The sequence below is a fragment of the Homo sapiens genome, chromosome 19 (assembly GCF_000001405.40).
Source record: "Homo sapiens chromosome 19, GRCh38.p14 Primary Assembly".
In the NCBI taxonomy this organism is placed as follows: Eukaryota; Metazoa; Chordata; class Mammalia; order Primates; family Hominidae; genus Homo; species Homo sapiens.
In genome coordinates, this window is record NC_000019.10 from 54,134,248 (window position 1) to 54,159,786 (window position 25,539).

Here is a 25,539-nt window from a genome sequence, read left to right on the forward strand (position 1 = left end):
CTCCCTCCCTCTCTCCACCTCCCCTCTCTCCCTCCCTCCCTCCCTCTCTCCACCTTCCCTCTCTCCCTCCCTCTCTCCACCTTCCCTCTCTCTCTCTCCCTCCCTCTCTCCAGCTCATGCTATCTGGGTCTCCCTCTGACTTTCTAGGTCCTGTCTGAGATTTTGCTCTTTCTGTTCCCCTCTCTGGGCCTCCCCGTCACCACTCTGTGTATCTCTGGATCCCTGTCCTTCAACCCAGAGCTCTGTCTCTGGACCTCAGTGGCAATCTCTAAATCTCTCTCCTTCCTCAAGTCAAAAAGTCGACACACTCAGGAGGTTCCCTTGAGTGGCTGAACTACCCCAGGTTGTATAACTCAAGTCTGTTTTCTCAATGTTATCCCTGACCCTCTGGGTCAACCCTGTTTGAAAATGACAACCTTTGCTGATCTCTACATACTGGTCTGCCAGGGAAGGACCCGTGGTCCACAACCCTGTTCAGAATCCCCCATCTCCCTTGGCCAAAATATCCGGCATCTACCAATGGGGCTGTGGCATGAGGGTGTCAATCTCAGGAAAGGAATCTTGAGTCGCCTGGGCCTGCAGCCCTCGTACTTTCAGAACAGAGGTTCTCAGAATTTAATGCGCTTCAGAATTACACTGAGGACTTGTTAAAACATAGTTGCTGGGCCCAGAGTTTCTGATTCAGTCTAGGGTGGGGCTCAAAAATGTGCCTTTCAAACAAGTTCCCAGGTGATGGGTACGTGCCTGACCCAAGGCCACATTTCAGAAGCACTGCTCTAGAAAAGAAGACTCTGTAAGCGGCTCTTACGCTGGGCGCGGTGGCTCACGCCTGTAATCCCAGCTACTTGGGAGGCTGAGGTGGGAGAATGGCTTGAACCTGGGAGGCAGAGGTTGCAGTGAGCCGAGATGGCGCCCCTGCACTCCAGCCTGGGTGAGAGAGACACTGGCTCCCACCTCAAGATCGTTTTAGTTGGTCCAGTGTAAGCCTGGGTATCTGGACTTTTTTATTTTTTATTTTTATTTTTTGAGACGGCGTCTTGCTCTGTCACCCAGGCTGGAGTGCAATGGCGCAATCTCGGGTCACTGCAACCTCTGCCTCCCAGGTTCAAGTGATTCTCCCGCCTCAGCCTCCCGAGTAGCTGGGATTACAGGCACATGCCACCATGCCCAGCTAATTTTTGTATTTTTAGTAGAGACGGGGTTTCACCATGTTGGCCAGGCTGGTTTTGAACTCCCTACCTCAGGTGATCCGCCCACCTCGGCCTCTGAGAGTGCTGGGATTACAGGTGCAATGGCGCAATCTAGGCTCACTGCAGCCTCTGCCTCCCGGGTTCAAGTGATTCTCCCGGCCCGGCCTGGCCTCTAATTTAAAAAAAATTTTTTTTTTTTAAAGTTCCTCAGGTAGGCCAGGCGCAGTGGCTCACGCCTGTAATCCCAGCACTTTGGGAGACTGAGGCGAGCGGATCACCTGAGGTCAGGAGTTCGACACCAGCCTGGCCAACATGGTGAAACCCCGTCTCTACTAAAAATACAAAAATTAGTCGGGCGTGGTGGCGGGCGCCTGTAATCCCAGCTACTCGGGAGGCTGAGGCGGGAGAATCACTTGAACCCCGGGAGGCAGAGGCTGCAGTGAGCCTAGATTGTGCCACTGCTCTCCAGCCTGGGGGACAAGAGCAAGTCTTCGTCTCAACAACAACAACAATAACAACAAGTTCCTCAGGTGACTCTGATGTGCAGCCAAGTTGGAAAGTCATCGCTAGATCCGCGGTGTGCAAAGTGAACTGCGGACCGTGGACTGCGGCACTTGTTAGAAAAGCAGAATTTGCATTTTAACACATTCCTAGGTGATTCCGGAGATGTCTGAGAAGCGATACTTTGTCCAGGGGCCACAGTTTGAATAGCAAAGCTCTAGAACAATAACTCTAGGCTTCATTCCCGTTGTCTGTGTGTGGGCCTACGAATATGCATTTTCGCAAGCATTCCTCCTCCCCCTTGCCTCAGACCATTCTGATGCGGGTGGTGCTGAACGGCTCCATCCTCCTTCACGTTCACCTCTCCCTGGGATTTATCTTACTTTCCACCACCTAGACAGGAAGGGGCGAATCTGGCTTCCCATCTCGGTTGTGTGACCCTGGGCAAATGCCTCCCAGTTCGTGGAAGTCTCAGTGTCTAGTTAAGTTTTCAATCACAAGTCATTCCTCACATTCATTCATCTATTCCTTTGACAAATGGTTACTGACTACTTCCTGCGTGCTAAGTGCTGGAGATGCAAAATCCAGACAGGGAAACCGAATAATTACGAAAATGACGGTAGACGTACAAAAATAAATCCTAACGAACAAGGCGCGCAGGAGCGCTCCGCCCGGGAGGGAGGTCAGGGAAGTTTTCTCTCCAAGAAGACAACAGAGCTGAGACCTGAAACGAGCAGGCATTAGGGAGCCACCCGTCTCCTCTGTACCTTCTGCAGCGTCCTCAACACACTAAGGAAGCGGAGACGCAGAGGAGAATGACTGTCCCACCATCTGGTCGCCTAACCAGGCAGGGGCAGGACAAAAACTCCATGCCTCACGCTTCCCAACCAATTCTGCTATGCACGGTGCCAGAGACTTAAAGCAGTGTCTCTGGTCCCTTTCTTCTTTCACTCAGCAAATAATGAATTTCAGAGATGTGCCAACATAGAGGCACTTGGAGAAAGACGAGGCAGCTGAGAGGGAAGCTGCTTACCTGGCCGGGACGCAACGGTTGCGACCAAGTCCCACTTCTGCCAGCTACATACACCCTCTTTCACACGCTCTACGAGCAGCTACCGCCCACTCGCCACGCTATTGGTCCAACTAGCATGAATGATAACTTTTAGGGCCAACGAAGAAAAAGGGGTGGACTTTCTTGCCCAGCTCCTCCCACTTGGCCCTGTGGCTGTTTTGATTGGCAGATGACTTCGGCTCGGCCCCCGCTTTAAAGGCACCTGTCTGTCTCCCATTAGGTACGCGGCCCCTAACGCCCACACTCCATGCCTTCCTCCGCTTTCCCCACCCACTTCCAGGACCAACCAATGACTTCAAGGCAGAATATGCCCCCGCAACCAATTAAAAAGAGCTCTAAACTTGACGGACGACTTCCCGCCCCTGGACTGTCGTAGCTCCTCCCCCAGACCAATTGTTTTAAGAGAGGGGGGCGGATACATCCAATCAGCACGACACAGGTCTCTTGATTGACGTTCGGGTCCTCGCGCTGGCGTGTTGTGCCCTGAGGCGGGAGGAGGAGGAGGAGCGGGGAGGAAAACCTGAGCCAATCCTAGCAGCCTGCGCGGGAGGCCAATCGAACGCCGCGCCTTGGAGCGATCACCCAATCCGCGAAAGGGGGCAGGGCGCATCCCTGCCAGGAACCAATAGAAAGCCTCCAAGGGTCAGGAGCGACGTTCAGCGGGAGCAATGACTGGCCTATATTCGGGACTCGGGGGCGGGTCGGCGCCAGAGACGAGAAGAGAGGAGGGGAGGCCTCCTCCGCCGCCGCCATCTTGGACCGGGCCCGGTCAGCTTCCGCGGAGCCATCGGCAGACGCCGCGGCCTCCCTTGAGCCCCGACCCCCGTCGTCAGAACAACCCCGGGCCCACTCCCCCAACCCCACTTCCGCTTCGCGCCGCTATCGCGATAGCGCCCGGGCCCGGGGCGCGAGAAAAAGGCGGCGGGCGCTCGCCTCCCCCGCCTGTCGCGATACGCTCCTCAGCGGCGGCGCCAGCTCCTGTGGTGAGAGCGTCAGGCTCGACTGGGCCGGACCCCTTCCCTTCCTCCCCCCGGCGCCATCGGCCGCCCTCCCCGCCGCCTCCCGCCCTGGCGACACCGCCGTCTGTCGCGACATGGCCTCCCCTCGCCTGCCCCCTGCCGCCGCCTCTGCAGCGCGGGGCTCCCGGCGGGGGGCGGCTCCCTCCCTCTCGCCCTCCCGTTCCTGCGCCTCTTTCACGTTCCTCAGCGCCTCCCGGGGGTCCTTCCGCGACCCGGACCCCGGGCCCCGCCCGCCGCCGCCTCCCCGCGTGGCATCGCGTCGGGCCCCCCGGTAGGGGTGTGAGGGTGCGAAGCCTCCCGGGCGCGAGGTGCCCGCCCCTCTCCGCGTCGGTATTGGCTCCTGGCTGGAAGGATGGAGGCGCCCCTGGTCCCAGGTGCCCGCCCTCTCGGGGCTCAGGTGCCTGCCCCCCTCGGCCTCGGTCCTTCGCGTTGTGGGGCAGCCTCCGCGCCGGGGCTTCTCCCTCGACGGTGGCGGGGAGGGGGGGTGGTGGTCGGGACGAGGACCCCAGCTGGGTGGGGGAGTCACCCTTCCCAGGACCGAGGCCGCCCTCCGCATCCCTCCTCACTGCTCCCGGGAGCGCAGCCTCCCCTGGATCTCAGGTTCCAGCTGCCCGTCTGTATCGGATGGGAGCCTCTTGGGAGAGGAGTGGAGGAGAAACTCCCCGTTAGTTGGAGCCTTTGCCGAAGTTTCCACCTCTGTAGTCTGCAGCTCTTCCCTCTCATAGCGAGTAGCGCCCTGGGTGGCTCCAGCCTCGCCATCCCGCTGCACTGGGCGCCTGCCTTTTTGGGGGAGTTTGGCTTTCCCCCACCTGGGGTACAGGACCGTCCTCAGTGTGGCCCACGTCTGGTCTCAGCTCTCACACTTCTTTGATCCTGGCGTCTGCCCCTGGCTTTGCAGCCTTGAACTCCCCTGCATCGTGACTCTCCGACCTTCTGGGTGTGGGCGTCTCCCAGTGATATCAGGACCACTGTGGTCTTGTTGCTGGGGGCTGCTGGGATCCCCTGGCGCTCAGGTGCCTGGTGAAAGACACTAAGCCGCCACGCTGTCCATGTTAGTGAGCTCCCACTGCGGGCAGCACCAGCCCCTCTTTCTGAGCAGTCCCTGCCTCTCAGTGCAGGGCGGCCACCCACCCCGGGGTGAGCTCTCCTGTCCTTTTGGTGAGGGGTTTTGATGTCTCCCCTCCCTCCCTTCACCCCTGCCTGAGTATGAGGCTTCTTCCATCTTCACACCAGTCTCCTCCTTTAGGGTGTCAGCTCTCCAAGGACCAAGAAGCCCACTGCCCTTGATATTTGCATCAGATCCCACACTGTGGGTTTGTTGACTTCCCATCTACCCTTACGCTGGGTGTCAGCAGTTGGAGAACAAGGGTTTCGCCTTCTGGCCCCGCTGCTGGTACCCCATGAGAGTAGGAAGCTTCCTAGACCCGGGTTCCTGTACTGCGAGGTGGGGGCTCTTCCCTCTGGGGCTGTGCCTTCTCTCCAGGGTAAGGACCCTTTCTTGGTGTCACCTCCCCCAGGGATAAGGTTCTTGCCATCCTTGGTATTGGTATGGCTGCTTTTCTGGATTTGAGGTGTCCACGCCTCTGCATGTGTCCCCACCGTAAGGCTGAGGACCCCTCTCGGATGCAGGTGCCCCCGGCTAATGCTTCCAAAACCCCCTCTTGATTTGTCACTGTATGGGGTAAGGCATAGTTTCCTGGCTGTGTGGATGTAAGATACCTGAGTCTCAAGCGGGAGACTCCACTGTAGACCCTGTCCCTGGGACCAGAGACTTCTCTGGTGTAGACTTTCCAAGGTGGGAGATTCCAGCCCCCCACCCTTGGCATGGGGCATCTCAGTGGAGATGACTACCTCTACCCCAGGCCCTAACGCATCCTTCTTCTGGAGTCTCAGAGCCTCTGTGTGGCCACGTCAGCAGCCACCTGGGTTAAGGATCACCCTTCAACATCACTTCTCAGAGCTCCTTGCTGCAGAGGCGGAAGCTCTCCCAGATCAAAGGTGCCTCATGACAAAGACCACTCTGTGGGCACATGACGGCCCCCAAGGTTAAGGACCACCCGGTGTTAGTTTCCCAGGGCTGACCTCCTGCCCCTCCCTCCTCGAGTCTTTGTGTGGTGGTATCATCTTCCCTGAGATGAAGTCTGGGGGGCTCTTCTTTACTGGTTTTGGCTCTGATTTTAGCGTGTTGGCTCCTGTGAGGCTGGTGTCCTGCTCACCTCCCCCCACCCCGCCACCCGCCTTGTGGGTCCCTTCCCTGTGGGGATGTGTGTTCCTCTTGGGTAAGTCTCCTCCTGGGCCGAGGTTCCCAGATTCCTCAGTGCTCTTGGAGAGCCTTTGCTGCTGGAGCACAGGTTCTTCACGCCTGAGAGTGGACCTGCGATCACCACCTTCCTTGGAGGATCTTGGTGGATGCCCCCCTGACTACAGCAAATGGGGCTCTTTCTTCTCTGGCGGCGTCTCTGCTTCGAGACTCAGGCTCCAGCTTCCCTTCTCTCTGGTCCTTTGCTGGGGGGACCAGAGGTACAGATACCCTCATGATATAGGGATTTTCTTAGCGGGGAAGGTGTTGTCTCTACTGTGGCTAAGGCTCCAGCCTCTCTAGGGGACAAGTACCCTGGGCCTCTGGCACTTGCCCCTTCTCTGTGGAGGAGCTGCCTCCTCACTGGGTCTCAGCTGTAGCCGACTTCGATGTCACACTGTTCTGTCTGAAACATCACCTCCCTGGGTTAGCGCTCTTGTTCCCCTCCTCCTGGCTTGTGACCCCTCCAGGACTTCCTTCTCTTGCTGCCACAGTGTGGTCTCCTGTCTGTGGGTATTCTTCCTCTGCACTAGGATACCAGTCCTTTCCGTGTGGAGACACAGGGAGGGCGTCACCTGCCTAAGGTGTTGATTGCCTTGTTTAGGGGTGTAGACCATGAGACCTCTTCTCTCTCTGGGCTGGAGCACCTGCCCATGACCCTCTGTTGGGTTCTTGGGATGGAAAGAGGGAGTGTAAACTCTCGTTTCACATTCTTGTTCCCCCTATGCAGTAAGAGGCTTTTCTGTGTTGGGGTGTTGGACTTTGGTGAGGATCCCTGCACACCTGAGCTCTGGTGTCCAGGCCCTTGCCTTGTGTGAGCTCCCTGGGTCAAAGAGGCTTTCCCCTCCTCAGCCTGAATCCCCACTGTGGCACCTTCTCCTGGGTCCTTTTGTTGGTTGCTTTGCCTTCTTAGAGATTCCCCAGGTAGGGCGTGATAGCTGACCTGGGCGGGGGCTGCTGCGGCTTTCTTTAGGTTGGGCCTTTTACTGAGGAGATTTAAATTCCCTCAAGTGTAAGGTAGCACCCCTACCTATTATCACCCAGAATGGGTCCCTGCGGTGTTGGGAAAATTCTCCCTGGGGGTAAGGTACCAGCCCTGTCCTTTGTGGGCTTCTTGTTCTAAAGCATATCCGTCCCATATGGTTGCTGCTAGTCACATGTGGTGATTAGTAACTAGTTAAAAATGAAAAATTCAGTTCCTCCATTACACTTGCCACATTTCAGATGTTCAGTGGCCAACAGATATGCGCAAATAGAGTGTTTCCAGCATTGCAAAGTTCTGTTGGATAGCACTGTTTGCCAGATGTTCCCTTCTTTGTGGGTGAGGACTCTTTTGGTGTGACTTCCCTCTGTATTGAGGCTCTTGTTCCTCAGTATGGGGCTGTTTCTGTCTTTACAGTAAGTGACTACTCCAGGGTTCCCTGCCCTGCACACGTAGAGTGGGAGCGGCCCGTGGATCCCAGGGAACTGTGCTTTTCATTGTAGGCCCCCTCCCTGGAGGGGAAGAGGGCAATCTCCGCTGGTATCTCAGAAGTCTTCTTCTGAGGCATAAGCCTCTCTTCCCAGGGCTCCCCTGGTCTCGCTGTCAGGCCCTAAGGTATGTCTTCCCTTGGACTAAAGCTCCTTGGAACTCCCTTTTGACCTCAGTCTTCTCTGGGTTCCAGGTAACTTCCTTTAAAATAAAGACGCTCCTCTCTTGAAGTTTTGGGTTCCTGCCCTGATGGTCTATGTCTCCCTGACTCTAAATTACCAATCCACTTGCTATGGGATTCCTCCGTGAGTGCAGATCGGCTCCCTCACAGCTGCGGTACCTTTGCACCCTCTTATCTTAGTAAGATTTCTGTCTTCTCCCAGGTCTCTCTTGGGTACTGCCTTCTGCCCCCAAATCTCTAAGCCTTCTTGGTATTAGCTTCTTTGGGTTAGGAGTGTTATTTCCTTTTGGTTTAAGGATCCTGCTCTGGAATAAATGTCTTGGTGGTTTGAGTCCCTTCTACTTGGCATTCAGCCCTGTCTGCATGAGCGGGTTCAGCTCTTCACAGCTTTCGGCATCTCTGCTCGCCGTCGTTTTCCCCCACCCCCAATCTTTCTTCTCCTACCTACAGCTTACACACACACACACACACGCCCTTCTCTGTGAGCTGCCAGTTTCATTTGTCTCCTGACTTGTCTGAGGGATGACCTCTCCTAGCCACCTCTGCCCAGCCCCTCTGAGTAGGAAGTGTGATCTCCAGGGCTAATGCCTCCATCCCAGTCATCAGCTGTGTGCAGCATGACTGTCCTGCTCTGAAAAACCTTTTTGAGTGTATTCTGGGGAGAAGGTACTCCATGCTCTAGGAATTTTCCACTTCCTGAGTCAGAGGCACACAAAAAAGTATGTAACTTTTCTTGTTTCAACAAACTTATGGGGTCCCCTGTTGGCCAGACACTATGCTGGGCAGTCAAGCGAGCATCAGGAGAACTGGGGCTGGTCTCTTGTCAGATAGCAAATGCTTCTTCTCTTTACCAGTCCCACCTACCTCACTATGCTGACTAGGTCCATGTCTCTGGGTTTTTACCAGCCAGGGAATACGTGTTAATTCCTCTCCAATCTCTCCTAGCAGCGTCCGTCTCCAAGAGAGTATGAAGAGAGTGCGTCTGTAGGGCAGGGAAGATGGCGGACAAGCGCAAACTCCAAGGTACTAGACTGACTTCCTGCTGCACCTGTAGCCACATGCTCCCTCTTCTGAGGACTGCTCTTTAGATACCTGCCACCTGGGCAGGATTCTCACAGCCTTGTTCCTCCCTGGCCAGGTGAGATTGATCGCTGCCTCAAGAAGGTGTCCGAGGGCGTGGAGCAGTTTGAAGATATTTGGCAGAAGGTACAGGGGCTGAGACCCTAATAATCTGGGTCTTCAGAGAGGAGGGCACAGGAAGGCGGCTCAGGACCTCTGGGTGTTGACCAGCGGGAGGGGCTACATATGCAGATGCTGAGGACCTAAGAGAATCAGCTCTAAGATGGATTGGGGGTAGGGGTTGGGGGGGGTCCTCGAGTCCCTAGCATAAGGAAGAATCACTGGAGTGGGTACTGGGACATCCCCTCCCACACTGACTTCTCAATTCTCTCCATCCCTCAGCTCCACAATGCAGCCAACGCGAACCAGAAAGAAAAGTATGAGGCTGACCTAAAGAAGGAGATTAAGAAGCTACAAGTGAGGGGGCTGGGGGCCTGGACGCCTTTGTCCTGAGGGTAGAGGGAACTGGGAGAGTGGACTGCTGGGTCCCAGGGAGAAGGAGCTGTGGGCCCCAGTTCCTGGGTCCTGAGGTCTGACTTTCTTGCTTTTCCCATCTGCAGCGGCTGAGGGACCAAATCAAGACATGGGTAGCGTCCAACGAGATCAAGGACAAGAGGCAGCTTATAGACAACCGCAAGCTCATTGAGACGGTAGGAGCCCAGAGCCTGAGTCCCAGAGAGGTGGGAAGGTCACCAGATTCTTGAGATCCCAAGGGGCGGAGGCAGAGCGGCCAGACCCCAGAGGTCCTCAAGAGAAGTAAGGTTTCTGCACCTAAGGGAAGTGAAGAGGCAGCGGACTCAGAGCTCAGAAAGTAGGGTCACGAGGCTCAGGTCGGAGTGTCTGCTGGCCCTTAGTCAGCTCCTTTCCCACCTTTGAGAGCCCCCCTGCCAACTGCACTCTCTACAGCAAATGGAACGGTTCAAAGTTGTGGAACGAGAGACCAAAACCAAAGCTTACAGCAAAGAGGGCCTGGGCCTGGCCCAGAAGGTAGATCCTGCCCAGAAGGAGAAGGAAGAGGTTGGCCAGTGGCTCACGGTGAGTTGGGGTAGAGAAGAGGAGGTGAACTCTGAGGATCCTGAGCCCTGGGTGTAGGCGGAACCCTAGCTGATGGGCTTCCTCTTCCTCTCCCTCCCCTAGAATACCATCGACACGCTCAACATGCAGGTGGACCAGTTTGAGAGTGAAGTGGAGTCACTGTCAGTGCAGACACGCAAGAAGAAGGGCGACAAGGATGTGAGTGAGGGAGACCCGACACCTTTGGGATGGGGATGGGCATGGGAATGGGCTGGCCAGCAGGAGGCCAGTCATTTATGCTCCTGGGAGTTGGGGCCTGGATTCCTCAGGCGGACAGGGCCAACAGCCGGGATTAGGGATTTGAGAGACAGGATTGGGAGGGCTTAGCAGCTGCACGCGTGGGGCAGGAAGGAGGTCAGACAGAATCTCAGGGTCCCCTGGGTGTCTGGGTAGACCGTGGGGCCTTTGTGAAGAGGAGCGACTTGGGGGAAGGTGAGTGCAGGTTGAGCTTGGGCCACAGAGTAAAAGTGAGACCTGAAGGACACCCATGGCAAGAGGCCTCCTGGCACCCAGAGGGCCCTGGTCCTAGGGAGAGCACAGTGGGTAGAGACAAGGCAGAACATGGAGAAGGCAGAGAACCAGGCCTGAAGGAAGACAGGAGTCTGGGACAAAGCTGGATGTTGGGGTCCCAGGTTCTAAAATCCGGGATTGTGGGGTATGAGTTCAAAGGGATACAAACTGTACAGACTTGCTGAAACCAGAAAGACAGGGAGGGGAGAGCCGGGTCCTCAGGGAAGCTGTGGGTGGGAGAGGGTCAGGAAGTGGAAGATGACAGGGTTGGGTGTCAGACTCTGAGGGGTTTGGGAACCAGGGGCTTTCGGGGAGATGATGGGTCCTTGAACAGAGCAGAGATTTGGAACCAAGGCTAAGATGTTAAATCCTAAAGGGGCCTTGAGGGGAGGGCAGGAGCGAGGCTTAGGAATCTGGGCTCTCTCAGGGATAAATGGGTAGGGTTGGGGGCCTAGTGATGACAGATATCACAATTCTAAACAGCAAGCTCCTCACAAATGGGGGTTATCATTGTTACTGCTGGAGCAGGTCGGAGGGTATCTGTATGCCAGAGGCAGTCACAGTGGTGGGCGGGCTCAGTTGAGAAATCTGGGCTGTCAGGTGAGGTGCAGATGGAGGCCAAGTCGTGGGATGGCACAAGGACCTCTGGGTCTTTTAGAGGTTTCCAAGGACTCCTGGAGCCAGAAAGGTGTGGGGAGAGGAGGGAGCAGTGGGATCCCAAGATGTCAAGGCTAAGATTGGTCCCCACAGGGCTCAGAGGGTGGGTGGACCCCATACTGCCCCACCCCGAAGGGGATGGCGTGGAGGCTTTGGGTCTCCACAGGGGTCAGGGACTGAGGACAGGTTCTGTGGGGGCAGGAGGGGCCAAGCAGGTGCTCTGCAGCCCCTGAGCCTGGCCCTGGGCTCGCCAGCAGAAGCAGGACCGGATTGAGGGCTTGAAGCGGCACATCGAGAAGCACCGCTACCACGTGCGCATGCTAGAGACCATCCTGCGCATGCTGGACAATGACTCCATCCTCGTTGACGCCATCCGCAAGATCAAGGACGACGTTGAGTACTATGTTGACTCATCCCAGGACCCCGACTTCGAGGAGAACGAGTTTCTCTACGATGACCTGGACCTCGAGGACATTCGTGAGGCCCTGGGGCTGATCGTGGCACAGGAAGTGAGGGCCCAGAATGGGCTGTGTGAGCCAGCTAAGCATGCCCTTCTTCTGCCCCCACAGCACAGGCGCTGGTCGCCACCTCCCCCCCCAGCCACAGCCACATGGAGGATGAGATCTTCAACCAGTCCAGCAGCACGCCCACCTCAACCACCTCCAGCTCTCCCATCCCGCCCAGCCCAGCCAACTGTACCACGGTGAGGCCCCACGGGACACTAGTACCTTGTGTTTCCAGCAGGGCAGGACTCGAGGAGACAAATCTGGGTCACTCCAAAGTGGCTATGGGAGCGTAATTGAGGAAACACAGATCTAGGTATCCAGGGTCTAGGCTCTTGGAGCACACGCTAAGGTCCTATATCTGGGTCCCTAAAGGACATAAAGAGCAATAGGGTGCATCCCGCGCCAGTTTAGGTCCTGGATCTGGGAAGTGGGAGGGGCCGGTGCCTGGGCTGCCTGAGGAGGCTGGGTAGCTGGCCACCTTGGGCAGGGATCCAAGGGTTGGCTTCCCTGTGGAGAGCAGGTTCCCAGATCCTTAAGAGGCTGGTGGGTCAGTGCTGGCTCCCAGAAAACAAGAAGACTGGAGAGCCTGAATTGAGATGGTTTCTCCAGGCAGATTAAGGACAGCCATTTGACCAGCTCTGGGGCCGCAATGGCAGTCAATTGGGCCCAGGTCCCCGGGGCATTCAGAGATTGGCGGTTCTCCATCAGAGCCCCAGAGGTCACACAGGTTTCTATTCTGCCTCCCCTACCTCAGGAAAACTCTGAAGATGATAAGAAGAGGGGACGTTCCACAGACAGTGAAGTCAGCCAGGTGGGTGTGAGCCTGGACCGGGTGGGCACGCCATTCACTCCTCTGTTGCTTCCCAAAGGCATCTTGAGGCCTGAGCGCCGGCCACTGTGCTGGGCTGGTGGACACAGGTGGCTCAGAAATCAGTGCTGCCCTGAGGGCAGGTGGGCAGGGCAAGTGGACAGGTGACTGGTGCTGTGGTCAAGGGGGTAGCACACAGGTCACCCTTGGCCTGGCCAGGCAGTCAGGAGATGCTGCTGTGGAGTGCCCTGGGCTTCACAGTCAGGTGAGTTTGCCTGGCAGGGAGAGGTGGCAGCCAGTAACATGGGCAAGTTGTGACAGAAAGTTTGGAAGTGAGGAGAGATGAGTCTGGCCAGGTCTGCAGGGCCAGGGGCCCAACTGTGAGCACAGGGACTGGGACTGTCAGGCTGAGGGGCTCAGGCTTTGTGGACCTGAGTGGCCTCCAGAGTCCAATAAGCCTAGGAAGCGATGGGGCCTTTGCTGTGCTGATAATACACACTGCAAATTTCTGAGAGGAGACGGTGGCGGGCAGTGCTTCTTCAACTCCTTTGACATCTCCCAGGACAGGAGCACGCTTTCGGAAACGCTGCTACAGAACAATGTTAGGCAGGAGCAGCATGGGCCTGAGGCCCCTCTGTGGGCTAACGGGATGGATGGTTCCAAGGGGACACCCTGAGTGGGCATTGAGGAGGCTGGTGTGGAGACTAAGGGGACCCGCAGGTAGTAGTGAGGGCGGGCAACAGGGCCAGGAGGTGATGAGGAGAGACACTGAGGCAGGTACTCCAGGGGCCAGGCTGGGCTCTGCCACCTTCCCAGGCCCCCACTGCCAAGCAGCGATGCCCAGGAGAGAAGTGGGTAGTCAGTCCTGTTGGGCGCTTGGTAAGCGCAAGGTGCCTGTGGGGTGGCTGGAAAGAAGCCCAGGAGGTGGTTAGGCTCAGCAGCCCGAGTGCTGTCCGCAGATTGCCTGCGGTAGGGATACCATGAGCACATTTACCCTCCCACCACTTTCTGGAGTGCTGGTAACTTCCAGCCCTGTGAGTAGCTTCTGTGACCCTTCAGGTGACATTCAGAATTACTATCCAATTTCCAGCTGTTTTTCCTTCTACTCTTGGACATTAGGCGGCTCCAGCTAATCTCATATTGAGAACACTTAAGTGTTTCCCACTAGTCCTCTGGCTTCCAACAGATGGATCTTCTCTGGCTGACAACCTAAGTTGTGTGTCAGATCCCTGTGGGGGTGTCCATGGGGCGGTGTCCAGGCAGGACTTGGGAAGCTGGGCAGGCTGGAAATCAGTGTGAGTGTTTTAAGCATGAAGGTGATTGAAGCCATGAGGGTGAGTAAGGTCACCCAGGTCCCCAAGAGGGCAGGAGCAGGTGGGGGCAGCGAGGCCAGAGAGGAGGCTGCTGGGACAAAGATGGAGCCTGAGGTGGGGGTGGTGAGGGAGACCAGCTGGCCCACTGGGTCCTGACCCTCTGCTCTCTCCCACCCGCAGTCTCCAGCCAAAAACGGCTCCAAGCCTGTCCACAGCAACCAGCACCCTCAGTCCCCAGCTGTGCCGCCCACCTACCCCTCCGGCCCCCCGCCTGCTGCCTCTGCCTTGAGCACCACTCCTGGCAACAATGGGGTCCCCGCCCCCGCAGCACCCCCAAGTGCCCTGGGCCCCAAGGCCAGTCCAGCTCCCAGCCACAACTCGGGCACCCCTGCTCCCTATGCCCAGGCTGTGGCCCCACCAGCTCCCAGTGGGCCCAGCACGACCCAGCCCCGGCCCCCCAGCGTCCAGCCTAGCGGAGGCGGAGGCGGCGGCAGCGGAGGCGGAGGGAGCAGCAGCAGTAGTAACAGCAGTGCCGGTGGAGGGGCTGGCAAGCAGAATGGCGCCACCAGTGAGTGAGGAGGCAGCGGGGTGGGGGGCGTGGGCGGGGCTGGGCAGCAGGCAGCAGCCCTTTCCATTTACTCTTTGTTCCCAGGTTACAGCTCAGTTGTGGCAGACAGCCCGGCAGAGGTGGCTTTGAGCAGCAGTGGGGGCAACAATGCCAGCAGCCAGGCCTTGGGCCCCCCTTCCGGCCCCCACAACCCACCTCCCAGCACCTCGTGAGTGTCTCGGCCATCGGCAGGGTTGGGATGGCAGCCTTTTGAAACAGAGAGGCGCAGGCGCCTCACCCCCGCATCGGTGGGTTCTGAACCCCCCGCCCTTGCTGCTGGGAATGGCCAAGCGCTATCCTCCATCTCCCTCGGGTGTTACACCCCCACTTCTTTCCAGCAAGGAAACTACATCAGCCTCCCTGCTTTGCCCTTCAGAACATTCTAAAATACGTTCTCATCTAAGTGGAAGTTTTCTCAAGAGCCCCATACCCTTTCCTCCCCATTTCTGTTACCTGCCTGAGGCCAATTGACTGCCACCGGAGGGTCACTGTTTCACTTTTCAAAGTGAATTGTCCCGAAGTCCTTATTCCTCTGCAGCCACTCCTTCAAATCTTAGCTCAGACCATTCCACTGGGTCTGCCTGTTTCCCGAAGAATGCCCTAAGAAAGATCAGTGTGCACAAAGGAAAGGCCTGCTTCCTGCCCCCTCACCCCAGCTCCAGCTGGCCTGCCCAAGGGGGAGTGGGCCCTGTGAACACCTGCCCAGGGCAAGTGGTTTTGATCAGCCTGTGGCCTGGTGGAGCACCCGAGAATCCTCACCCCCACCCCCACAGCTCTGCTCTGCTGATGAGAAACCATTCCAAAGATTGGGCTCTGCCTTTGTTTGCCCAGAGAACCACTTCTTTCTCCCATCTGTCTGCCCTCACCTGCCCCTCTCAGATCCCATCTGATCTGTGCAGTCTCCCCTCTCTCCAGCCAGGCCTCTCTGCCCATCCCACCCTCAGGGACCCTCCTCTCAACCCCCTCTTCCATGCTCTCTCTCCAGGAAGGAACCCAGTGCGGCAGCCCCAACGGGGGCTGGGGGCGTGGCCCCAGGCTCAGGGAACAACTCAGGGGGACCCAGCCTCCTGGTGCCACTGCCTGTGAATCCTCCCAGCTCCCCAACGCCCAGCTTCAGTGATGCCAAGGCAGCCGGTGCCCTGCTCAATGGGCCTCCACAGTTCAGCACCGCCCCAGAAATCAAGGTGGGCTCCTCGGACATCCCCCGAGCCTCTGTGTCCTGACTCTGTTGTTTCTTTCCTCCAGGTCTCTAGCTGCACCCCTTGCCCCCACCCTCTTTCTGGATCTCTCTCTGGCTTTCTGTCCCCTTCTCACACTTGCTCTTTCTCCAGGTCTTTCTGTACCACCCTCCCCGTGACCTTGATCTCTGGGGGCTCTCATACCTCCTCTCTTGTTCCCTCCAAAGCTCTGTTTCTCTGGGTCTCTTTTCCTTTCTCTTGGTTGCACTTGTTGCTTGCTCTCTCTGGGTCTCCATCTTCATCCCCCCCGCAGGCCCTCAGTTTCTGTCCCCGTTTGTCCTCACAAGGCATAGACTGGTGTACTTTCTGCACAAGTAGAAAGACTGGTTGGGTGAATGCAGCCTGGTTCCACCCTTTAGGAAGCTTCCCTGCTGGGGCAGCTGCAGGGAAGGTTGCGGTGGGCCCACCGAGGGGCATCTGACCTGACCTGGGAGACAGGCCCAGGAAGGTCTGAGAGGGGGTGATGTTTAAGCTGAGACCTGGACCAGGCAGGGGGGCTAACAGCTGCAGGAAGGGCTTCAGGAGGTGCTTTAGGAGGAGCATGCATCTGCCTGTGTGCTTAGGAAGCTGGGCAGGATGCAGCAGAGAGGAGAGAGGTGTCCACTCTGCAGGAGACAGTGCCACCAGCTGCAGGGCTGAGATAGTGGGTGTAGCAGGATAGGACGGTGGGGTCCTGATCATCGAGGGTCAGGAGCTGGGGCTTGGCTTGTGAGCCAGTATACTGTAGCGCAGCTTCCATGGGGGGACCAGTGTGTATGCCCAGGCTGTCCAGGAGGCAGTGTGCGCGCCCAGGCTGTCCAGGAGGCAGTGTGCGCGCCCAGGCTGTCCAGGTCCAAGTCTTGGCATTGTCCTTTCTGTGCCTTCATCTGGGAAACGGCAATAGTCACGATTATACCTACTATGTAGGGTTATTTGGAAGACTAAATCATCCTCATAAAGCTCTTGGAACAGTTTCTGGCCCAACAGAAGCATTAATTTTTTTTTTTTTTCTTTTTTGAGACAGAGTCTTGCTCTGTCACCCAGGCTGGAGTGCAGTGGTGCAATCTCAGCTGAATGCAACATCCGCCTCCTGGGTTCAAGCGATTCTCCTGCCGCAGCCTACTGAGTAGCTGGGATTACAGGCGCCTGCCACCACGCCAGGCTAATTTTTATATTTTTAATAGAGATGGGGTTTTGCCATGTTGGTCAGGCAGGTCTTGAACTCCGAACCTCAGGTGATCCACCCACCTTGACCTCCCAAAGTGCTGGGATTACAGGTGTGAGCCACCGTGCCCGGCCCAAATTTTAGAAGTAGGTGGACAGGATATTTATAGTGCGTGCATTTTTCTGGAAAAAGGGAAACAGCAGCTTTGAGATTTTCAGAAGGGGTCCATATCTTTTAACACCACCAACAACAAAAATGAATCGCTGGGGTGGGTGGTCGGGAACCATGGCAAGGTTTGGAGTAGAGAAGGAACAACATGACTTCATTGGAAAGGTCCCCTGGGGCTGGTGAGGACAGGATAGAGGGAGGGTGGTCTGGGCAGGAGAGGACAGGCCTGGGCTGTGTGGGACATGGTGGCACGACAGGGAAGGGAGCCATCCAGTGGGGTTTAGAAGCAGGACGGATAGCTGGGCGTGGTGGCTCACACCTGTAATCCCAGCTCTTAGGGAGGCAGAGGCGGGAGGATAGCTTGAGCCCAGGAGTTTGAGACCTGCCTGGGCGATATAGCGAGACAGGATGGATAAGCCTTGGCGACTGACTCGTTGTGGAGAGTCCAGCACAGGGCTGGGGTTTGGGACAGCTGCACGTGGCTGGAGGAGATGGGAGGAACCAGCCCTGACTTTGGGGAACAGAAGCCTGCTGTAACCTTTGTAATAGGAAACGAGGCTGTGGCTGCGGGGCTGGAGACCCAACCTACCTGTTTCCAGCAAGGAGACTGAAGCCTAGCCGGGCTGGGCCCACCCCGATTCCAGTCACCCCATGCCAGTCACAGGCAGACAGCTGAGCATGTAGACCTCCTGCCTCCTTCAAGACAGGCGGGAGCTCTCCCAGCGTGTAGGTGTCCCTAGTGAAGGAGCGTGTACTATTGGCACATCCTTTGACAAAAATGGTAGCGCACTGTACATATTCTGCAGGTTGGCGTTTACTTCTGTAGTATGTCACGAACTTGTATTTTGAAAATCTCGGCGTAGTATTCCATGCTGCAGAGTCCCACTCACGAGACGTTCCTCTGCTGATGAATGCGTCGTGGTCTCCGATTGTTTCCCTACAGTTTGATGCTTTTACCTGTCATGGGTAGATTGTGGGGAGTGGGTCGTTGGCCCTCCACGGCCCCCAAACAGGGCAGGTGAGAGCATCTGGGGCCTGTGTCAGGCTGCACTTGCTCCTGCAGCCCAAGTGCTCAGGCCAGGCCTCTTGTTTCCTCCCCAGGCCCCTGAGCCTCTGAGCTCCTTGAAGTCCATGGCGGAACGGGCAGCCATCAGCTCTGGCATTGAGGACCCTGTGCCAACGCTGCACCTGACCGAGCGAGGTGAGGGACCCAGGATGGTGGGGAAGCAGCGGGCCAAAGAGGAGGGGCTGCCCCTGACCCATCCTCACCACTGAGGGGGCCGGACCCCCACCCTCCCCACAGACATCATCCTGAGCAGTACATCAGCACCTCCGGCCTCAGCCCAGCCGCCCCTGCAGCTGTCAGAGGTGAACATACCGCTGTCGCTGGGTGTCTGTCCACTGGGCCCTGTGCCCCTCACCAAGGAGCAGCTCTATCAGCAGGCCATGGAAGAGGCCGCCTGGCACCACATGCCTCACCCCTCTGACTCTGAGCGTATTCGGTGAGGGGCCACAGGGAAGGGGGATGGTCTGGGACTTGAGTCTTACGGAGGAGGCAGTGGCTGAACCTGTGAGGCTGTGGGTAGAGCACCAGGCCCCTGACTTGGGCTCTCCACTGAAGGTCAGCACCGCCCTGGGTCTTTCTGTACCACCTCCCCCCGCAGGGATGCATGTCTGAGCACCCTTTTGATCACGACAGGACTAGTAGGCAGCTGGCACTGACCTTCCTGTTGCTCTCACAGGCAGTACCTCCCCCGGAACCCCTGTCCGACGCCCCCCTACCACCACCAGATGCCACCCCCACACTCGGACACTGTGGAATTCTACCAGCGCCTGTCGACCGAGACACTCTTCTTCATCTTCTACTATCTGGAGGTACAGCAGGGCCCCCGGGGCAGCCTCGGGCCCCCCGGCTTCGCCGCCACCGCCGCCGTCCCCCCTCGGGCTGGAGGGGTGAGGTGGGTGCCCCACTGCGGCCACTGGGACCGCACCCCCTCCCTATTCCCACTCCTGGGCCCCTGCCCCAAATCCACCTGTCCCCGTCCCCGCCTTCCAGCCCAGAGATGTTAGAACTGCTTGGGTTGACAGCGAGGCTGGTCCACTGAGGCACACCTCAGCCCCGCTTCCAGTTGCCCACTGGCTCACCCGCGGCCCCTCCCCAGCCCTGCTCCAGCAGCCCCAGTCTAGGCCGACCCCACTCTGCTCATTGGCACATTCTCAGGCCTCCCTGGAGACCACTGGGGAGCTGTCCAGCCCCCTCCCAACCCCAGTGAGTCATGAGTGACCTCCACCCTCATCCCCACTTGGGAAATTTTCTAAATTGCCTCCTCTCTCAGCTCTCATCACACATTAGTTTTTCTTCCTTCTCAAAGCTTCTCTGAAAGCAATTTTCACCTCCTGTCTCATTTTCCTTCTCCTGATCAGCATTGGTATGTTCTGTGCCCCCAGCCCCATCTCCAAGAGGATTGTCCAGCCCAACTGTGGTCTGTGGCGGGGGCCGGGGTTCAGCCCTGATGTCCTGCCCCATTCCCCTGGCTCCCCACCCAGTTTGGGGGCCCCCTGATCCCCCTCTCCACTGTTCCTCCCCCAGGGCACTAAGGCACAGTATCTGGCAGCCAAGGCCCTAAAGAAGCAGTCATGGCGATTCCACACCAAGTACATGATGTGGTTCCAGAGGCACGAGGAGCCCAAGACCATCACTGACGAGTTTGAGCAGGTGAGGGCCCCGCCCCCTCTCTTCCCGCTGCTAGGGTTGGGGTAGAGTCCCCAGGCTCCAGGCAGCCCCTGCTGGCCTCTGCTCCCTTGCCTCCACCTTTCAGCTGGCGCAGTCCCTCAGCCTGACCAAGTACTCCTCCCTCTGGCTGTCTGCTCAGCCTGGAACACCGCCCTCTCATCCTCCACTTGGCCAGCTCCTAGGCCTCCTGTAGGTCTCAGCCCAAATGTCCCTTCCTCAAAGAAACCTTCCTGGAGCCACCCAGCCCAGTGCCTCCCCTTTGCAGTGCTGGGCACACTCGCCTGGGGTGTGGGATTTTCCCAGTATGTGTCCCTGCACCAGGCTGTGGGCTCTGCTGCCGAGGGACCTTGATGGCCCCCACTTCACCTCCAGGTCCCAGCACTCAGCAGGGCAGGGGCTCAGTGCGGAAACTATTTTTTTTGAATGGGCTTCTCAAGTTCTAATACTGGGAAATTCCTGCTGCTTGCAAACACTCTGGAACCAACCTACCTGGGTTTCAGCCCAGTCCAGCTGGGCGACTCTAGGCAAGTCACTCGAACCTCTGTGTCTCAATTAACTTATCTGTAAAAATGGGGGGAAGACCACCTACCTAATGCAGTTGTTATGAAGATTAAATGAGTTAATAACATGTAAGTACTTAATGGTGACTGCTACATAGTCAGTGTCATGGATTTTTTTTTTCAAATTACTTTCAGTTGGTGTGTTCTACAGTGATGTTTTTTTCCACCAAATACTTCCCTGATGCCGAGCCCCTTCATGGGGATGAAGTAGTACAAGGTCCTTGTCCTCAGAGAACTCAGTCCCCTCTCCTGGTTCTCCCAGGTTGCCATCTTTGAAGCACTTAAGACATTCATTTAGAACCTAGGTCCTCTCCCATTGTGTCCTCAGATGTTAACCACAGACTTCCTGTCCTTTCCTGGTTTGGCCCAAAACCATCCTCCAAGTTAGTACATTTCAGGGCATCCAGTCATTCAGAAATTCCCACACCACTTCGTCACCAATAAAATGTCCCTGCAGAGTGCTTGGATTTAGACTCTGAGACTGTTCCATTCTCTAGAACAAGGGTGACAGTACCCACTGCCTCGAGGTCTTTGTGAAGATTAAATGCTAGGCTGTGCATCCTGTACTCACGTGAGAGGTGCTCAAAAGCCACAGCCCTCGAGGAAACGAAGGCTGTGCACTCACACCTGGGGCTGGGGCCCCGTTCTGGCAGCTGGCTTCGGTGGAACCTCTGCGGCCCCCTCCGTTTCCTCCTCGCTGAAGTGGCATGATAACATTTCCTACCCAAGAAGAACCTTGTGAGGATGGATGAGAGTGTGTGCGTGCAGGGCAGCTGGCCCGGTGCCTGACACATCCACAGCCCTAAGAATTGTCCCCTTTGTCTGTTGGTCCGGCCCAGATCCCAGACCACCTCCTCGTCCACTCACTGACCGCCTTCTCCCCCGGCCAGGGCACCTACATCTACTTTGACTACGAGAAGTGGGGCCAGCGGAAGAAGGAAGGCTTCACCTTTGAGTACCGCTACCTGGAGGACCGGGACCTCCAGTGACACCGGCCCCTCCCTCTACCCACCCCCTTCCCCCGCATGCTGATCCCCCTGCCCAGGTGAGGGCCCTGCCCTGGAAGACTGGAGGGAGGCCCCAAGCCACGGGGCATCCCCCTCTCCCAGGAAGCAGGGAGGGGGCCGGGAGGTTTTCCTCTCAGCCCCACCCTGGGGGCCCGGGGGCGAGGGCTGCCCCCTCCTCCCCTCCCCAGTGAGGGACATTTTTTGGTAAACCTATTTTCATTTTGGAAAATATTTATGAATAAATAGTTTTATATGACGGCTGGCAGCAGCGGCCTCTCCTGTACCCCCTCAGGAGTCAGTGAGTAAGGTGAGGGTCCTGCTGGCGGGGGCGCCGGGCCAGCTGGGGGTTGAATTGGGAGTTGTACCGCCGCCGCCGGTCATCCGTCTCGTCTTCTTCCGGCTGACCCTCCTGTAGTGCCCGGCCTTGGACCCGGGCCAGCAGGGCCTCTGCCCGAGACCTCTCAGCTGCTTCCCTCCGCAGACGTTCAGCTCGAAGCTGGTCCAGGGATGGAGGCCTGTGGGGAGAGGAGTGAGGTCAGAAAGCTGGTAGCCCCTAGGAGGCCATTCCCCCAACCTCTCCCATAGAGGGAGCTGCCGCCTGGAAGCCCCGCTGCATCCAGCACACCCCAGCCTCAGCTCCTTAGGCCTGCTGGAAGCAGCCACTTGGTGCTGGGACGCCATGGGCACGTCTCTGGCCTTCCCTTCTGTGGGCTTTGGTCCTCCCCAGTCTTTAAAATCTGATGCTTCTCCAGGTCAAGAAAGCACACTTAGCAGCCCCCTGGCCCTCAGTTTCCCTTTCTAGAGGAAAGAAGACTACAGGCAGTGTACCCCCTCTAGACCAGGGGTGCAGCATCCTGGAGACAGAAGCCTGCTTTTACTCTCTAACCCAGCAGCTCTCAAACTCTTTGGTCTCAGGACCCCTTTATACTCTTAAAAACCAAGGACCCCAAGAGCTTTTGTTTAAATGGGTTCTCTTAATATGCTGCAAATCATTAGTGAAAACTAAGAAAGTTTGGACACAAGCATCTGCCATTGGCCATCAGAGTGAGGGTGTCTCCCCATCACACAGCCTCTGGAAACCTGCACTACATGCCTGAGAACACGAGTGGAAAAGTCCACCAGTGTCAGGAAAATAGGCTTGACACCACAGCACCCCGGGAAAGGGTGTCAGGACCCCTAGGGCTCCCTGGACCACATGCTGAGAACCACTTCTCCACCTAGCCAGCCCTTCACGGAGTCCCTGGCTGTCCTGACCAGAGACGCTGCAGTGCCCATGCTGGGCTGCTGCCAAGCCCTGAAGGTCTGGGCCCTGGTCTGCCGAGGTGGGGTCTTCTTACTCCTTGGGTCGCTGCTTCTCAGACCCCTCCTTTTCCTTTCTGCTGCGACTGCCTTCATCACCGCCGTGCTGTCTCTTCTTCCCCAGATGCTTCTGCATCTCCCGCAGAGGGTCCAGACGGCTCTTGATCTTCTCATCTGGGGCTGGGCCGGGCGGGGGGCCCCCTCGCCCTGGGGGTAGCTGGTACCAAGGGGGTTGAGTCTGTGCCTCCGCTGCACTCTGGCCCAGGTATGTCAGGATGCCCAGAGCTTTCTCTTGCCTCTCCTGAGGGGGCCAGGAAATACAAGAGATGTGATATAATCTTTCAAGGTGTCAGGTGTGTCTCCCTGACACAGGTATCTAAGCGAACAGGTATCTAAGGCTTGTTATGAACCAGTTGGACCAGGTGCTGGGGATGGAAGACAAACAGAGGCAAAGCTCCCCCTGGGGGGACAGTAGCAGGTACAGTAACAGCAGGGGAAGGAGGGGACAAGTGGAGCCACTTGAGTGTTCAGAGGCAGGCATCTTTGCAGAGAGACTTGAAGAGAAGCCTGAAGGGATCAAGCAAAGCAGAGGAGCGATGGGTGGGGTCAGCAAGTCCAGAGACAGCAGATAAATGACAAGAGCTGATGTACCTCTTTTTTTTGAGATGGAGTCTCGCTCTGTTGCCCAGACTCGAGTGCAGTGGCACGATCTCGGCTCACTGCAACCTCTGCTTCCCAGGTTCAAGCAATCCTCCTACCTCAGCCCCCCGAGTAGCTGGGATTACAGGCACACACCACCATGCCCAGCTAATTTTTGTATTTTTAGTAGAGACGGGGTTTTGCCATGTTTGGCCAGGCTGGTCTTGAACTTCTGACCTCAGGTGATCCACCCACGTTGGCCTCCCAAAGTGCTGGGATTACAGGCGTGAGCCACCATGCACAGCCACTGATGTACCTTTTACACTTGATCTTAGCCAAAAAGCAAGAGGCGATTGATTCACTTTTTGTTTGATTGTTTTGAGATGGGGTCTCGCTCTGTCACCCAGGCTGGAGTGCAGTGGCGCAATCTCGGCTTACTGCAGCTTCCACCTCCTGGGTCAAGCGATTCTCCTGCTTCAGCCTCCCTGGGATTACAGGCGCGCACCACCATGCCCGGCTAATTTTTTTTGTATTTTTAGAGATACCATGTTGACCAGGCTGGTCTTGAACTCCTGACCTCAGGTGATCCACCCGCCTCAGCCTCCCAAGGTGGTGGGATTACAGGCGTGAGCCACAGCCGGCTGATTTAAATTTTTAAAAGCCCATCAGGTTTGAGACTCCTCCAGTTTGGAGAACTGAGCGGTTTGCCCAGCAGCTGGGGACCTCTAGCATCTACCTCCAACCCCTGTGGGCGCCCAGACGGCAATAGCCAACGCTTTTTGAGTGTCATGCCTTGGTATGGTCCTAAATTCTGTGTGTTCACTCTTGTTTGACCTTGGTCACAACCAATGGCTAAAGTGCCCCCTCCCTCCAACTCGATTCATGGCCCCTCTGATGAAGTGGGTGAGGCCAGCTTACTTTCTCCTGTCGCTTTTCTTCCTTGTACTCTTTATTGCCTCTGATCACTCCTTTCCCTTCCTCCAGCAGCTCCCGAAACAGGTCCACAGGGCCAGAACCTGGGGCTCCCGCCTCTGCTGCTTCAAGCTCAGGCAGTGAGTTCTGATGTCTGGCTTTCTTCCGTAGGAATTCTGTACGGGCCTGGGGAGAAAGTTATAGGCAGGACATTCAGAACCTAGAGGTAATTCAAGAACTGTGAGTCTGGTGCCCACCACAGAAAATGGCAGTCCAGGGTGCTGGGGTTATGAGAAAGGGAGCACTAGGCGCCTAAAAGAGGCACCTGTCCTAGCTGGGGGTGAGGGTAGGCAGATGAGGCAACGCCTGGGTTTTGTAAACTCCCTTTCAAATAGTAAACCACGGGTCATCAAGGATGTATGGGAGGAGGTCCCTGGCCTAAACCAAAGGGGTTCCTAACCTCAAGTGAGACAATTAAAACAGCCATAAAGGTATGCATTAGGCCAGACGATCTGAATTCTAGCCATGGCTCCAAGTGACTACCCCAAGTCTGCTGAAGCCCTGTCCCCTGCCTTCAGGACGCGGATTTCAAACAGCGCTCAGCAGCCTACTGAGATTCTAAAAACCTAGACTACCTCCCACCCACGGCGGAGGATCAGACTAGCTAAGGAAATGAAAGTTGGGTGTACACCAAACAGATTTAAAGAGCCATACGGAAAGCCCGTGTTTGTGTGTATGTGTCTAGGGGGCGGTGCACGAAAGGGCTCGCCCGATGGCGTGGAGCCTGGCTGTCCGCCTCTCCTTAAAATGTGCCTTCCCCTCACTGAAGCCATCTCACTTCGTGCAACAGAGATGACAGTGCCCCTCTAAGAACGAACAGTGCTTATTGGGGATTCCGCAAGTCAGGTGCACGGCATGTAGTTAGCATACAGTAGATGCTCAATAAATAGGCTGTGCAGGCAAACTAAAAAGTGATCCGAATTTCCTTGAACTGTCCAAGGGTTCACGGATTCATTAAATGTTAAGCTTCTCTTTTGTGCTAGACACTGTTCCAGCCATGTGAAATACATCAGTGGGGGAAAAACTAAGACGAGGGCGAGATCAAGGAAGGTTTCGTGGAAGTGGGCACAAGGTTTGCGGGGCAACGTCCTCGAAAGTGGGATCGGCGCCTGGTCCCGAATTTCACACGGGGCACATTGAGCCTGCGCAACGCCTCCGCTTCCGGCCCCCAACCGCGGCGCCTGCGCGCTGGGCCCCGGAGCGCCGCCCTGCCGGCTTCCGAGCTTACCTCTTGCTGAGCCAGCAGCACCCTCCGCTCACGCTCCTTCTCCTCCTCCCGGGCCTGGGCCTCGTCACGCCGCACGCGGGCGACATTGTCCTTGTTCCGGACGTGCCAGCTCTTCTTGGGCAAGATATTCATGGCGTCGTAGCTGTCCAGGGACTGGCACGCCCGCCTCTTTGCACTTCCGATTGGCGAGAGGATGCCCCCCTTTTTCTTGTCCCTACTTCGA

At 56.9% G+C, this 25,539-nt stretch overlaps 2 protein-coding genes and 1 long non-coding RNA gene across 33 annotated transcripts, besides 1 other annotated feature; 1 reads left to right on the forward strand and 2 right to left on the reverse strand.

The window, feature by feature from the left end:
- Nucleotides 1-3,514: 3,514 nt before the first annotated feature.
- Nucleotides 3,515-21,434, forward strand: CNOT3 (CCR4-NOT transcription complex subunit 3). Of its 30 annotated transcripts, NM_001440662.1 has the most exons (19): nucleotides 3,515-3,746; nucleotides 5,029-5,266; nucleotides 8,682-8,756; nucleotides 8,872-8,939; nucleotides 9,195-9,269; nucleotides 9,413-9,502; nucleotides 9,759-9,887; nucleotides 9,990-10,085; nucleotides 11,348-11,570; nucleotides 11,663-11,796; nucleotides 12,354-12,410; nucleotides 13,901-14,288; nucleotides 14,373-14,496; nucleotides 15,313-15,511; nucleotides 17,979-18,078; nucleotides 18,181-18,379; nucleotides 18,620-18,752; nucleotides 19,468-19,593; nucleotides 21,062-21,434. In NM_001440662.1, the coding sequence occupies exons 3-19, from the start codon at nucleotides 8,732-8,734 to the stop codon at nucleotides 21,158-21,160; spliced, it is 2,265 nt and encodes a 754-aa protein (NP_001427591.1). In that variant the 5' UTR covers nucleotides 3,515-3,746; nucleotides 5,029-5,266; nucleotides 8,682-8,731; the 3' UTR covers nucleotides 21,161-21,434. The 30 variants fall into 30 exon arrangements, 28 of the variants coding, with proteins under 28 accessions (NP_001427591.1, XP_047294833.1, XP_047294834.1 ...); NR_199730.1 differs by lacking the exon at nucleotides 5,029-5,266 and having other exon boundaries at nucleotides 11,295-11,570; nucleotides 18,620-18,835; NR_199731.1 differs by lacking the exon at nucleotides 5,029-5,266 and having other exon boundaries at nucleotides 11,351-11,570; nucleotides 19,250-19,593.
- On the reverse strand, nucleotides 12,332-17,980 carry LOC102724273 (uncharacterized). 2 transcript variants are annotated; one of them, XR_001754001.3, is made up of 4 exons: nucleotides 17,467-17,980; nucleotides 15,710-16,431; nucleotides 14,781-14,927; nucleotides 12,332-12,504 (listed from the first exon to the last, which is right to left on the reverse strand). It is a non-coding gene; the product is annotated as an uncharacterized LOC102724273 (long non-coding RNA). The 2 variants fall into 2 exon arrangements; XR_001754002.2 differs by lacking the exon at nucleotides 12,332-12,504 and having other exon boundaries at nucleotides 14,514-14,927; nucleotides 15,710-15,871.
- Nucleotides 20,914-25,474, reverse strand: LENG1 (leukocyte receptor cluster member 1). Its single transcript, NM_024316.3, has 4 exons — nucleotides 25,317-25,474; nucleotides 24,035-24,214; nucleotides 22,516-22,778; nucleotides 20,914-21,693 (listed from the first exon to the last, which is right to left on the reverse strand). The coding sequence occupies exons 1-4, from the start codon at nucleotides 25,446-25,448 to the stop codon at nucleotides 21,474-21,476; spliced, it is 795 nt and encodes a 264-aa protein (NP_077292.2). The 5' UTR covers nucleotides 25,449-25,474; the 3' UTR covers nucleotides 20,914-21,473.
- Nucleotides 24,807-25,476: an enhancer, noted in NCBI's record as "H3K27ac hESC enhancer chr19:54662792-54663461 (GRCh37/hg19 assembly coordinates)". NCBI's record gives its function as "activates a minimal SCP1, AML or CMV promoter by ChIP-STARR-seq in primed H9 embryonic stem cells {active_cell/tissue: H9 hESC(primed)}" and the evidence as "EXISTENCE:reporter gene assay evidence [ECO:0000049][PMID:30033119]".

Coding starts and splice junctions, on each gene's coding strand:
- LENG1 (NM_024316.3), bottom strand. CDS start 25,448: ATGAATATCTTGCCCAAGAAGAGCTGGCACGTCCGGAACAAGGACAAT. Junction 22,779..24,034: donor AAGAAAAGCGACAGGAGAAA/GTAAGCTGGCCT, acceptor TGGCCCCCTCAG/GAGAGGCAAGAGAAAGCTCT. Junction 21,694..22,515: donor GAGAAGCAGCGACCCAAGGA/GTAAGAAGACCC, acceptor CTCTCCCCACAG/GCCTCCATCCCTGGACCAGC.
- CNOT3 (XM_047438866.1), top strand. CDS start 8,732: ATGGCGGACAAGCGCAAACTCCAAG. Junction 12,411..13,900: donor CAGACAGTGAAGTCAGCCAG/GTGGGTGTGAGC, acceptor TCCCACCCGCAG/TCTCCAGCCAAAAACGGCTC. Junction 18,753..19,467: donor TCATCTTCTACTATCTGGAG/GTACAGCAGGGC, acceptor TTCCTCCCCCAG/GGCACTAAGGCACAGTATCT.